This window comes from Homo sapiens, chromosome 12, assembly GCF_000001405.40.
Source record: "Homo sapiens chromosome 12, GRCh38.p14 Primary Assembly".
NCBI lineage: Eukaryota > Metazoa > Chordata > Mammalia > Primates > Hominidae > Homo > Homo sapiens.
Genome location: NC_000012.12, coordinates 130,600,956 through 130,615,682, shown reverse-complemented (window position 1 = coordinate 130,615,682; position 14,727 = coordinate 130,600,956). Strand labels below are relative to the sequence as shown.

The window sequence follows — 14,727 nt, the reverse complement described above, 5'->3', positions numbered from 1 at the left end:
TCAAAGACAAACACCTGTATCCCCACAGCTAGGCCTTGGGGGGTTTGTTGGTTTATTAAAATGAGAATCTAGGCTAGGCCCAGTGGCTCACACCTATAATCCCAGCACTTTGGGGAGGCTGAGGCGGGCAGATCACTTGAGGCCAGGAGTTCAAGACCAGCCTGGCCAACAAGGTGAAAACCCGTCTCTACTGAAAACACAAAAATTAGCCAGGTGTGGTGGCAGGTGCCTGTAATCCCAGCTACTCTGGAGGCTGAGATGGGAGAATTGCTTGAACCCGGGAGGTAGAGGTTGCAGTGAGCCGAGATCATGCCACTGCATTCCAGCCTGGGCGACAGAGTGAGACTCCATCTCAAAAAAATATCTATATATGTTTGTGTGTACACATATATATATATATATATATGTATGTGTATTATGTATATATACATAATTATGTGTACATATATACATTTATGTATATAATATATAATATGATGTATATGTTGTAATATTGTAATATATATATTATATAATATACAATATAATATATATGTATATACATAATGTATACATAATACACATATGTATATATACATAATACACATATATACACATACACGTGTATATATGTATATGAAATATACATGTGTATTTATACACATACACAGTATCTGCACGTTTCCTGCCAGACAAATGGGGAGCTGTCCAAGCTGTCCTATTTCATACCTACACATCTGAAGATGACTAGACACACAAGTTATCAAAAATATGTATATAGTTTATAAAACATTTTGTAAAGTACATATAAAATATATGTATTTATATACATATATATTTTATATATCTGTATTTTATATATATATATTTGATAACTTGTTTTACTCAAAAGTGCGTCATGAACATTTTTCATGTCAACACATAGAATTCTAACTTGTGATTTTGCATTTCCTCATTGTAGTCTGTGGCACGGATACACCACAATTTTCTTTGACCACCATGAAAAGATGTTCCTCTGCAGACCTGCAAGATTTCCCCTTTTTTCTTTGCCCCGTCACTGCTATGCTAAAGATCTTCATGTGCGCATTCTTATGTTTTTTATTTTGTGGAATCAATTTCTGGGAATCTCTGGGTCAGAATTTGTCTATGCTTTTTAATTACGCCTCCAAGAGATGGTTTCTCAGAAAGACTCCAGGAATCAACATTCCCACTGGTTCTGTGTGGAGCGGCCTATTGCTTTTTCCTTATACCCCAGCGCTGTCTGTTACTGCTCTTCAGTTTTTCCACATCTAACATGTGAGAAGTGTTGTGTTGTTAGGGCAGAGGGAATGTCGTCGGTTTGTTTACGTTGCTCACTGAACGTCTTCTGAGGATAAGGGAGGTTGGGCACAAGGTTGGTAATTAATCACATGGTTTTCGCTGATTCCTGTGGGTGCTGCCCCAACTCATGTTAGTCCTTGGCCGTAAGTAACTTCTGTTTCTTTATTGTACTCTTTAAGGAATGGGAACAATGGCATTGATTTCTTCTGCTTCCAGTCACATAGTATACGTGCAACTGTGTTACCAAGTCTGAAGTGCTACCGAAACATAAAGTGTAGGCCAGCCTGTTGCATCAGGTGAGACAGCGTTCAGCTGCAAGTAACAATAGAACCTGCTAACACTGCCCTGCAGAGACGGGGCTGGCTTTTCTCATGCAGAAAGTCAGAGGCCACCATTGCAGGGTGGCATGAGGGCTGAAAGGACCTGCCTCCCTCCCTCTCTGCTGTCATTGGGGTCCTATGGTGGCTGTTGCACCTTCTGGCATTGTGCCTGCATCCCAGGCAGGAAGAACGGAAAAGGCCGATGAGAGCTGTCTCTTAATGAGACTGAGTTTTTTTTTTTTTTTTTTTTGAGACAGAGTCTTGCTCTGTCACCCAGGCTGGAGTGCAGTGGTGCGATCTTGGCTCACTACAGCCTCTGCCTCCTGGGTTCAAGCGATTCTCCTGCCTCAGCCTCCTGAGTAGCTGGGATCACAGGCACCCGCCACCACACCCAGCTAATTTTTGTCTTTGTAGTAGAGATGGGGTTTCACCACGTTGGCCAGGATGATCTTCATCTCCCGACCATGTAATCCACCTGCCTCGGCCTCCCAAACCGCTGGATAACAGGCGTGAGCCACTGTGCCCGGCCGAGACTGAATCTTTACCGAAGAAAGGAAGAAGTCTGTGCTGGGCGTTCCCTGCTTGCCTCCCAGATCCACCCTCTACCTCCTTCTGTGCTGTCCTCTGCCTGCGGGGTGGGGGGCTGGGCTCACTGGACTTCCTCACTCAGGTTCTCTTGCCCTGTGGCTTCCAGGTGGCTTGGCCGATGAGGTCGCAGTAGGAGCCTGGAGATTGCGGCAGGGGTATCTGTGGGTTGCCCACTGGCCCTCTGGCGGGGCGGTCGCAGCTCCCACAATTGGAGTACCTGGGGGCGGCGTCCCCTGCCTTGTTGGCCCCGGCAACCCGCCAGCACTGCTGTCAACTCTCCCTCCGTCCCATCCCCTCATTACTCACCAGGCATGGCCTTCTGGCTGGTGTCCTGGATTCTGACAGATGCGACTTTCCAAAGGACACTCGTGAGGACAAAAATGTCACCTAGTCATCCTTGCCGGCCAGGGAGCTGGGAAATGTATATCAAGGAAGGCCAGGGAGAAACAGCTGGTGAATGGTAACCCAGGGTCTAAGTAGCCTGTGCAGGTGGCGATGACGGGGGGCTGGAGACTAGGTGGAGGCTGTGTAATCATCGGGGTTACCCGGGAGGTCCTGGACTTGGGGGAGGGGGGAGGGAAAGGAGAAGCTGTTTTACCCATCCGGACTCTCTCTATTGCAAGTGACAGATCCCAGCTCAGCCCTGCAGGCTGTGTACCTTGCTTCACCCGGATGGGGTCTAAGCCCAGAATAAGGTACCAGTGTCTGCATCCAGGGGGGCCTGCGGTGATGTCCACACGGTTTGGTTACTGGGGAAGCCAGTTGTTTAAGACATAGAGCTGTGTTTGACAAGCTCCTCCAGGTTTCTCCCGTTTTGCATTTACACTGTTTCCTCTGAAGTCTTGCCACCACGGTCTTCACCATCCTGTCAAATGGTGTTTTAATTATTTTAAAAAACACCATTTTCCCATAATGTGCTCTCTTAGCTTGGGTTGCTGTACAGAATACCCCAGACTGGGTGCTGGGCTGGGGACCCCCAACCTGGGGTGGCTTTTCATTAACCCAGCAGCCAGGCCAAACTTTGTCTGGATTGGGCTTTGCGCACAGCAGAGCAGCTCACGCATGGTGACCTTTCAACCCCTGGCCTGAGGGCTTGTCCAAGCTGAGTAAATATTCATACATGAGAGAGAAGGTGATGCTTTATGAAAAAGCCAAAAGCTGGATCCCCTGGCCAACTGAAACACCCGGGGCCGCACTCAGCCCTCAGAAGGCCTGTTTTCACCGTGGAAGGTGAGGCTGAGGAGCGAACAGGTGGCGGCCTGTTCTCCAGTCTGGGCCGGACACAGGTCAATCCAAGCAGCTGCTCTCCTTGGAGGTCACCTCTCTGGCCCAGAGAGGTGACCTTGCGTGACTCTGAGCTGTGCTGTGTGATGTCTGAGCACCTGCCCTGGCACACTGTCTCTGGAAGACTTGGATCTGCTGCCCAGATCCCTGCAGGCCCTGCGGGCTCTTCAGGGCAAAGACTCATGACGCCTTAACTATCCAGGACATGCTTCTCAGAGGATGCATTGTATCTGCTTCGGGTATCAATCCTGCAGCCAATTGGTTTTCCCCAACTTTCTACTTGCAAAGCAACTTCTTAGACCTGGGGTCCTCTCTTGCAGGCGCCCTGCATGGCAGAGAACTTTTTCCACCACAGCCTTCGTGTAACAGGCAGTTACATGGGTTTCATGGGTCGACATGGGTTCCGTGTCCTGCTTGCCGGGCCTGAGCTGTTTGTCAGGTGTACAACCGAGAACCTTGCAGACCAGAATCCAAGACTCCGCAGCATGTGTGTGCCGGGGCGGGACACGAGCTGTTGGAGGAGAAAGCCATCAGTGTATTTAGAGGCAAAGGGCTTCCTAAATCGAGGCTGTGCAGGCCTCCTGAAGGTCCTAGCCCAGGCTACGGAGGTAAATCCTCTCCGCAGGAGACGCGTCGCCGCCAGCATGGTGGCATCTGCCACTTACACCTGCAGCGAAGCCCGGTAGCCGGCAGCCGGTGTCTTCCAGCGGAGGATCGGGGGCAGAGATGCGGGTAAATGAAGCGGCCCCAGGTGCCCTGGCTTCTGCGGGAGTGGAAGACAAAAGGGCCCCCAATATCCTGCAACGTATTGTCTGATGGAGGCTGTAGCTCAAAGAGATCCTTTACGGGAGGGACGTCAATCATCAGGGAGGAGAAGGCGGCTCCTGGAGAGGCAGGCACTGAGTGCTTCCCCTGTGGGGTCTGGGGGACGTGGGGACAGAGCTCGTGGGATGGGAGGGGAATGTGCAGTTCCAGGAGCTGCGGCGGTTCCCGGTCCCTGTGGTGTTGGCAGCGATGCCTGGAGGCCGGAGCCCATGTCAGTGGCCTGAGGCTGAGTTCAGGCTCTGCCCGCTTTGGGCGGCCTGGCTAGAGGCACAATGCTCTCTTCTCCTGGCCTTTTTGAGGCCTCCTCTGTGAAATGAGGTGTTGGATGAGACTCCCCAGGGTGAAGTCACCTGGGAGCTGATGCTGCTAGAGCTTTAGAAATGAGGGAACTCGGAGGCAGAGTGGCCAGGGACTCGCTGGGCAGCAACAGCCTCCAATGGATGTGAGTTTCTGAGACATTGCAGGTGTTACTGGGGGGAGGTGACAGTGAATTTAAAGCAGGAAAATGGCCGGGCGCGGTGGCTCACGCCTGTAATCCCAGCACTTTGGGAGGCCGAGGCGGGCGGATCACGAGGTCAGGAGATCGAGACCATCCTGGCTAACACGGTGAAACCCCGTCTCTACTAAAAATACAAAAAATTAGCCGGGCGTGGTAGCGGGCGCCTGTAGTCCCAGCTACTTGGGAGGCTGAGGCAGGAGAATGGCGTGAACCCGGGAGGCGGAGCTTGCAGTGAGCCGAGATCGCGCCACTGCACTCCAGCCTGGGCGACAGAGCGAGACTCCGTCTCAAAAAAAAAAAAAAAAAAAAAAAAAAAGCAGGAAAATTACTTTGATGAGTCACAAAATGTTTGTTAGTCTCTTGTACATTGCTAGGACACATTACTTAGTTTTTATCCTTTTGTTTTTATTTATCAAAGAGATAAGTGTTTATTAAATCTGTTAAGTATTATACAAGCATGGAGAGGTTTTTAAAAAATTACCTGACTTTTGGGGCCACACAGATGGCGTAGACCCTCCCTTCAAAGTGTAGCTTTAAGCCCTGGAAATGGAGCAAGACTTGATGAAGAGAGGACCCTGGAAGCTGAACTGCCAGAGGCCCCAGAACGGGAGGGACCGGGAGGAGCAGGCTTCCCATTTTCCCCCAGAACGGGAGGGACCGGGAGGAGCAGACTTCCCATTTTCCCCCAGAACGGGAGGGACCGGGAGGAGCAGGCTTCCCATTTTCCCCCAGAACGGGAGGGACTGGGAGGAGCAGGCTTCCCATTTTCCCCCCGTGATGGTTGACTTTGTGCCAACTTAACTAGGTTGAGGGATGCCCAGAGAACTGGCCACACACTATTTTTTGGGGTGCCTGTGAGGGCGTTTCTGGAGAAGGTGAGCATTCGGATCAGTGGACTAAGGAATCGTCACAAATGTATGAGGGCATCCTCTGATTCATCGAGGGCCCAAGCAGAACAAAAAGGCAGGGGAGAGGTGAATTTGCTCCCTTCTGGAGCTGGGACTTCCGTCTGTCCTGCCCGCAGATGCTGAAGCTCCTGGGTCTCAGACCTCTGGACTCTGGGCCTCAACCAGTCCCCCTCCAGTGCCCTACCCCCACTTCCCAGACCTGCAGCCCTGGGCTGGGAGCGATACCGTTGGCTTCTGCAGTTCTCAAGCTTGCAGTCTCAGGCTGAATTCCCACCATCAGTATTCCTGGCTCTCCAGACGGCAGATCATGGGACTTATTGGCCTCTGTAATCACACGAGGAAACTCCCCAAATAAGTATCTTCATGTGTATCTATCCTGTCCTGTTTCTCCAGGGAACCCTGACTAACCACCCCGCTTCCATCCAACAGAAGAAAGTGACCCAGGCCCAACATTTCCTGACCCCCGACCTCACCAGAGAAGGTCCCCCAGGTGGCTCAGTTCTCCTCTGGGGGTCGGGGTCCCTCTGACCATATCACCAAGGAGGGTTAATCAAGGCCCTGCCAACATCAGTGTCAGGATTTCATTTTTTTTTAAAATGGCTGAACAGCATTCCGTTGTGTAGAGAACACATTTTCTTGATCCATTCATCCGTCGATGGACACTTAGGTTGATTCCACACCTTGGCTAGTGGGAATGGTGCTGTATAAACGTGGGGGGGCAGACAGCTTTGTGACAGACTCAGTTCATACGTGGGGGTGCAGACAGCTTTGCGACAGACTCAGTTCATTTTCTTTGGGTCGGTACCAGTGACATAGTGGGCTCGTGGCCATTCCATTTTTGCTTTTTGAGGAACCTCCATACAGTTTTCTGACAACATGGATGAACCTGGAGGATGCTGCATTAAGTCATCAGTCAGGCACAGAAAGACAAATACTGAATGACCTCACTCATACATGGCAGCTAAGAAGTTGATCTCGTAGAAGTAGAGAATGGAATGTGGTTACCAGAGGCTGGGGTGCTGGGGGCCATGGGGAGATGCTGGTTAAAGGACGTGTAATTACAGTTAGACAGGAGGGTGCATTTCAGATCCACTGCACTGCAAGCTGACCATAGTTAATGACGATGTATTGGTTAAAAATGTTAAGAGAGTGGGTATTAAGTTCTCTCACCACAAAATAACTATGAGGTAATGTACTTGCTAATTAACTAGATTTAACCATTCCACAAGGTATGTATATGTCAAAATGCCACGTGATACATGATAAACTCATACAAAATCAGAGTCCTAAAGAGGAGTGGCCTGGGCAGCGCTCTGTCCCCACAGGGCCTGAGCCTCCCCTCCCCGGTGGAGATGCTTCTCCCCACTGCCCACCTCCCCCCAGGAGGAGGGTCCTAGCCCAACAGCTCCTGACCTGGGGAAGCCTCTTCATCTCTGGGGAGCTGAGACTTCCCTCCTCCCCAGTAGAGAGACACCAGGGTGGGTGATCAGACCTGCAAGAGGCACACGTAGCCTGGACTGAAGGTCTCTTTGGCCCTGAGAACTTGAAACTTCCCTGAAGGGCCCAGAGAAATCAGTGTAGGCAGGAGGCTACATGCAATGCCAGTGGGCTGTGCATAGGAAATGCTGTCTGCGACCCCCTGTGGTGGTGTCGTTGGCCTTCCTGCCCAGCATCCTCTAGTCCTAAGAGTCTCTTGGTTTCCCATTGTCCTGTTGTGTGTTGTTTTATTCAGCCGTAAGCTTGGAGAACTTGCCCATTCACAACAGAAACCAAAGCGTTTTCTAGCAGCTCTTTCCACTGGATATTTTTCCTTTTCCTGCCCTGGTTCCCAGGCAGGGGCTGGGAGGTCAGACATGGAAGGTTGACTGGAAGCGCTGTCCTAGGACGCTGAATCTTTGAGTGAATCAAGGAAAAAAATCAATGTTTTGAGCATATTTACTTCAGTGGCAAGTTTCCAGGTTGGGGGACAGGAACTTCTGGCAGGTCCTTTTGCAGGGGAACCCCTACCTTCTGCGCCTGGCCCTCCAAACCTCTGACCCCCACACATTCCCACATCCTGCTGGGAGCTCCCCTTTTGGTGGAGTCATGGCCTTTATTTCTGATGCTTGCACCCAACACAGAACCTAAGCGGCTGTAAAAATGGATGCTTCTGCTTGGTCAGCGTGGAGAGAAAAGTGGAAAAAAAGGAGATGGAACTTGAACCTGGTGGAATGAATAGTTTTCTGGGGCTCCCCTTACTGAGCATTCCGAGCAGTTTCTGACCAATGCAGGCTTCTCCTTGCTGGGGAGTCGGATTTGTGTCTGACTCGCTCTCGGGCTGAGTGTGGAGAAACAGTCGCCGGTGAGGATGACTTAAGGAGGCAGTGGTTTCATGCCTGTCCCTGAGAAACTCACAGGAGATGATCAAAGCACCATGAATAAGCAGCATGTTCCCACCGAGCATGTGGAAGCATGGTTCTGGGTGTGGAGACGTGGCAGAAACCCACGGATGCACAAGTAGCCACGATTAGCCGGGGCACTGTGTGGCAAATTCAAGGAAAGCTATCAACTGGAGGCACCCGTCTATTAAACATCATCTTAATCAGCCTGTTAAATTGTGATCTGAGCAGATGCGGTCATGGGTAGGGCCCTTTCTCCCCGCCTGGAAACATCAGCAAACACTTAGTGGGAATGTTTCAGATGACCGGGTCTGTGGGAGAGTGAGTGCTCTGCCCAGGTGCATTACAGGATTTAAGCTGGGACTATATACAGAAATTAAACGTGAAGAAGGAATACTTTCTACACCTCAGGCTCACTGGTAGAGTGAGCTGTGTTTAAAGAATTTGAACTGGGCCGGCCGTGGTGGCTCATACCTGTAATCCCAGCACTTTGGGAGGCCGAGGCGGGTAGATCACGAGGTCAGGAGTTCGAGACCAGCCTGGCCAAGATGGTGATACTCCATCTCTACTAAAAATACAAAAATTAGCCAGGTGTGGTGGCAAGCGCCTATAATCCCAGCTACTCAGGAGGCTGAGGCAGGAGAATTGCTTGAACCCGGGAGGCGGAGGTTGCAGTGAGCTGAGATCGCGCTACTGCACCCTAGCCTGGGCGACAGAGCAAGACTTCATCTTAAAAAAGAATTGGAACTGCTTGTTGTGGTGACTCGGACTGTTGCGGCCTGGAGACATTTTGCATTATTTTTGACTTCAAGCAAAAGCCAGGCTGTAGGACCAGGGCAGAATTCTTCACACAGGTCATATTTAGAAGGTGAGGAGGAGGCTGGAGAGTATCTCCAGTTCATGATCTCTACCGCTTGCTCCAACAGTTTACAGCTCATGAAGTGCAGACTTTCAGATAAGGTTTGGATGGAAGCCACTAAGAGTTTTGCTATAAATGGTGAATCCCAAGAGACACTCCACAGAATACCTTTTGGGACTTGTTGGCTCAGCTTCCGCCTCTTCAACCTGCACTCCTCCCCGCCTCCACAGCGCTGATGCGGTGACAGCCACCTAAAGACCTGCCTCCTTGCGTGGAACTGAGGAGCTGTGTAGACGCGCGACTCCCTGCCCACGCGTCACGCTTGTGCCTCTCTGCAAACCCCATGCTTCCTTTTTTATGGCCTAGCCCAGGCAGTTAGTGGTAGAATAATAGTGAGAGGGGGTAATCCCAGGAATGCAATGTTCTGACTGTGATTTTTAATTTGGGAGAACGTTTTTTCTCAGAAACATACAGACAAGAAAACACCTGTGTGTAATTCCCACCATATAGACTCTCAGGCAGGGCCAATCTTTTTTTATTTTTTATTTTTTACCATATTTACTTCCAGTTGTTATTGTTCATACTTTCAAAAAGTTACACATTAACCTTTCATTTTTAGCTTTTTTTTCCTCTCTTTTCTTTTTCTTTTTGTTTTTTGAGACAGTCTCGCTCTATCTCCCAGACTGGAGTGCAATTGCATGGTCTCGGCTTACTGCAACCTCTGCCTCCTGGGTTCAAGCAATTCTCCTGCCTTAGCCTCCCAAGTAGCTGGGACTACAGGCTCCCACCACCATGCCTGGCTAATTTTTTTCTGAATTTTCAGTAGAGATGGGGTTTTACCACGTAGATCAGGCTGGTGTCGAACTCCTGACCTCAAATGATCTGCCCACCTCGGCCTCCCAAAGTGCTGGGATTACAGGTGTGGGCCACTGTGCCTGGCCCATTTTTAGCTTTTACTTATGAAAAATTGAAAGCATACCTTGAAATGGCAAGAATAGCACAATGAACCCCCACACAGCACACAGACGCAATCATGTAACAGCATTGTCATATTTGCTGTCTGCCTGTCTATCATCATCTATTTTTTTACTGAGTTATTTCAAAGTTGTAGATATTGTCACTTTATTACTACTTTATCATGCATCATTAAAAATAAAATTATTTTCTACACAACCACAATGCCATTGTCATACCTAAAAATGAACAGTAATTCCCCAATAGCATACGGTGGTCATCCCATATTCAAAATTTTTAGTTATCCCCAGGACATTTTTTATACCTTGTTATTTTGATTGCACCCAGATCCAGCCACGCCTCATGTATGATGTTGGCAGCCACGTCTTTTTAGTCTCTTTTAGTTGGAAACACGGTTTCCCCGCGTGATTGACTTATTGAAGAGACCAGACCACCTTTAAAAATAAATCAGGCATTACAAGTAAAGTTCAATTCTTTGATTTATAGAGTCTACTGCAACACCTACCCACCCTCCACTCCCAGAAGCATCCATTATATTATTAGGATAGTATGTATCTTTCCAGCTTTTAAAGTATACTTTCACAGTCCTGTGTCCTGAGCAATGGAATGAGTTCTGAGAAAGGCGTGCTGGCAATCTCGTCATGTGAACCCTGCAGTGCACTTGCACACACCTAGCCGGGGAGTCTACCGCACCCCGAGGCTGTGTGGTGGAGCCCATTGCTCCTGGGCTACACACCTGTGCAGGATGTGACTGTACTGGACTTTGTAGGCAACTGTAACACAATAGTAGGTATGTGTCTATCTGAACATATCTAAACCTTGCAGAAAAGGCACAGTAACATGCAGTATAAAAGATAAGAGAAAGAGGCCGGGCGCGGTGGCTCACGCCTGTAATCCCAGCACTTTGGGAGGCCGAGGTGGGCGGGTCACGAGGTCAGGAGATCAAGACCATCCTGGCTAACACAGTGAAACCCCGTCTCTACTAAAAAATACAAAAATTAGCCGGGCGTGGTGGTGGTGCCTGTAGTCCCAGCTACTTGGGAGGCTGAGGCAGGAGAATGGCGTGAACCCGGGAGGCAAAGCTTGCAGTGAGCCGAGATCGTGCCACTGCACTCCAGCCTGGGAGACAGAGCGAGACTCTGTCTCAAAAAAAAAAAAAAAGAAAGAAAAGGGGCATCTGTATAGGGCACTTACCATGAATGGAGCTTGCAGGCCCGGAAGTTGCTCTGGTGAGTGAGTGAGTGAGTGAGTGAGTGAGTGAGTGAGTGAGTGAGTGGAGAGTGAATGTGAAGGCGTAGGATGTTCCACTGCACGACTGTAGGCTTTATGGACACTGAACACTCGGGCCGCACTGAGTAGCCTAAAACATGATTCAAAGGCATTTTTCAAAAATTGTTTTTATTTCTTCAATAATCAATTAACCTTAGCTTACTGTGAGGTTTTTTTTTTTTTTTTTACTTTTTAAAAACCTTTTTGACTCTTGTAATAACACGTATCTTGAAACACAAAGACATTGCACAGCTGCACAAAAATCCTTTTCTTTATATCCTTATTCCATAAGAATTTTTTTCTATTTTAAAACATTTTAACACCGTTTAAAATGTTTTAAAAATGAAGACACAAACGCACACATTAGCCTGGGCCTACCCGGGGTCAGGATCATCACATCACCGTCTTGCACCTGCATGTCCTGTCCTGCTGGAAGGTCTCCAGGGGCAAAGCACGCGTGGAGCGGCCATCTCCTAGGGTGACAAGGCCTTCTTCTGGATAATTTCTGGAAGGCCTGCCTGAGACTGTTCTACAGTTATTTTATAAGTAGGAGTACACTCTAATGAGAAAAGTAGAGCATAGTGAGATATCTAAGCGAGTGACATAGTTGCTTATTATCACGTATCAAGCATGATGTACTTTGCAGGATCATATGTGCTAGGCTTTTCTAGGACTGGCGGTGCAGTGGGTTTGTTTACAGCAGTGTCACCACACACATGAGTCATGCACTGTGCTGCGATGTTACCTTGGCTGTGAAGTCACCGGGCTATAGGGCTACAGCGAGCTTTCACCTCTCTCAGAATCTTATGGCACCACCATGGCAAGTATGTGTCCCTCCTTGACGGAAACATTGTTCCTCAGCTCGTGACTGCAAGTGTATCTTATGCCTGTACTTACCCATCTGTCAGTCTCCATAAAAACATGGTTTTATGTAAATTTTCTTCATAAATATCATACTGGGCACATGATTCTGCATCTTCTATTTTTGATCTGCATTGTGTTTTGAGATGCACTGGGGCTGACAAATTTTCCTTATCCATTTCTCTATTGGGTTGTTTCCACTCTTCCATGATGCAGGTGCTTACACCTGCCTTCCGAGCACATGTGTTGAGTCCGTTGAAGTTAGTAGGGTTATAGGATGTGCTCACTTCTATTTCAACAGAGACTTCCCAGTGCTTCTAGCAGCTGGGCCAACTGACTGATGATCCTGCCAGTTCTGTACAGGTGGGCATGCTTCCCTGCCTTGTCAACACTTGGTATAGTCAGATTGGTAAAATGTGCACATCTGATGGGAACCCATTGTTTACATTTGCATATCCTGGATGGCTAGTGATGGCCATGTTTTCATGTGCTCATTTGCCACTTGAGTTTATCTTTTGCTTGTCTTTTTATTAGTACTGTTTCTTGATATATTTTGAATATGAAATATGGTGCCAATTTTGGTTTTAAAATTACGAGATTGACAAGTGGAAATTGTATTGCTTCACTGACCAGTGCTGCAACTGAAAACCTCATCTCTATAAATGAGAAATATGTTCTTCTCCTCTTCCGGGAGGGGGTGTGTTAATTATTCCTGATAGACCCCTTGCAGGGTGAATTCTCATAGCTAAAAAGTATCATTGTCATAATTCAATTTTTGAGCTGCCAAAATAACACTTCTCTGTTTATGCTAAAAGAACACCAAATCCTATTAAAAATGGAAACACGTTCTTAACATTGTTGATTACAATATGGTGCAACAGAACCACCGTTGGCGAATTCTTCTGTCATGCGACCGTCTACATCTGTTTGTTCAATTCTTTAATGACTGTTACTTACGCATCAGACAATGATCAAAGTACACGTTTGCTACCAAAAAAGTCAAGCAAAAGAAGTCAATGGTAGCCCTGCCAATGGCACACAAGGCGGGAGCCATCCCACGCTTACAGGAGTCCCTGGGGAAGCAGCTCCCAGCGCTGCCACACAGGTGGCCGAATTTCTGGGACTTGTGCACATCATCCAAACTGTCCTTGCAAATGCAAGAAACCTCCCCCAAATGGGCGGAGGGCATTGAAGGGACACATCCTCCTAACTTCAAAGGGTGTGTCTGGAGCACAGCCAGCCCCACCTATGATGCTGAATGTTCCTTTGGGACCTCAGAGCTGAAATGGATAAGGTAGGTTAGGTGTTGAGAGAGATGGGCGGCAGAGTGCCTGTGTCGTCTTCAGCAAAATGTGAACAATGTGGGTACCTACCTTAGGATTTCTCTGATTATTATGAGGGTTAATGGGTTAATGTTTGTCATATGCCTGGCACAAGTTAGCACTGTATAAATATTTCTTTTTTCTTTTTTTGTATTTTTTAGTAGAGACGAGGTTTTGCCATACTGGCCAGACTGGTTTTGAACTCCAGACCTCAGATGATCCACCCGCCTCGGCCTCTGAAAGTATTGGGATTACAGGCACGAGCCACCGTGCCTGGCCAAATATTTCTTAAAGAAAGAAAGAAAAATCTCTGGAGACCTTTCTTGGCCAGAGGCTGCAGGGGGTGTGATAAGGAGCTGTCCCTTTATTCCTTCTCATTGACATTCCATTTAGTTAAAAGGTTCGCTGAAAGCTTCTACAGGGATTATGTCACACCTATTTGCATACTGAACATATATAGTAGCTGCTCAATTAAATGTTTAATTAAATTAATGTGCTCCTCCAAGCAGTGTCTTTCCCAGCAATAGGATCAAATTCTCCTGTCATTTGAGATTCAAGACTATTGTGAGTGTGTCTTTGAAGAAGTAGATCAATAACTCTCTTCCTAGTTACATATGCACAAAGAACCTGGGATGAATTCAGAGTGACTTTGGAGATAAGCATTCTATGTGTGCTGGAAGATAATTGCATTACAGAGCTCATAAACCTCTCCCCAAACACTGAGGTCTCTAGACTGGGCTGAATGATGCCTTGGAGCTCAGCACCACTGCAATAACAAACTTAATTAAGGCATCAAGCTGGAAGCCAGGCTGGGCAGTAAATTAATTTTTAATCCATGGATGTAGCTGGCTTTTCAACATGATGGATATACCACAACCCAGAGGCTGTCAATCCAACAAGAAGTAAAAGATAATCACATTCACCAGCCGGTTTGCTTTTTTTTTTTTTTTTTTTTTTTTTGCCTGCCCTCTTTGACCCCATCCCCAGGGTGGGTGAGCAGCCCGTGGCTTTTAGGCAGTTGATATGGTTGGTCTGATTTCACTCAGGTGAGAGCTCCGGCGGCCTGGACTAACTCAGTTTTAGCTTGTGATCTTGATTACTGGTCGTCCTTCTGGTTGGTTAAATCACACAGAGAATGAGCCTTGTCAGTAAGAGTGTTAACCAAACCCTGATTCCCAAACATGCTTGCTCTCCTGACAAGGTGTATAAATGCTCACCGTGAGTTGAGCGTGGACTTGCAGAGAATGTGCAGTCAGCACCCTGGCAGGAAATGAAGGGTGTACTCGGCTAGGGCTTGGAGATGGCTACAAGGGACAACTTATAGAGGTGTGGGGAGGTTA

General features: G+C 48.0%; 1 protein-coding gene across 35 annotated transcripts in view, besides 2 other annotated features; it reads left to right on the top strand.

Annotated features, from left to right (window-relative positions):
- The window catches only part of RIMBP2 (RIMS binding protein 2), a 320,167-nt gene that overhangs the window by 100,617 nt on the left and 204,823 nt on the right, over window positions 1-14,727 (top strand). The gene's annotated exons all lie outside the window — the stretch shown is intronic.
- Window positions 1,683-2,277: an enhancer, noted in NCBI's record as "H3K4me1 hESC enhancer chr12:131097951-131098545 (GRCh37/hg19 assembly coordinates)". NCBI's record gives its function as "activates a minimal SCP1, AML or CMV promoter by ChIP-STARR-seq in primed H9 embryonic stem cells {active_cell/tissue: H9 hESC(primed)}" and the evidence as "EXISTENCE:reporter gene assay evidence [ECO:0000049][PMID:30033119]".
- Window positions 7,708-7,904: a silencer, noted in NCBI's record as "fragment chr12:131092324-131092520 (GRCh37/hg19 assembly coordinates)". NCBI's record gives its function as "represses an EF-1alpha promoter that drives an FKBP-Casp9 reporter gene in an ReSE screen in phorbol 12-myristate 13-acetate-treated (for megakaryocytic differentiation) K562 erythroleukemia cells {active_cell/tissue: K562(+PMA)}" and the evidence as "EXISTENCE:reporter gene assay evidence [ECO:0000049][PMID:32094911]".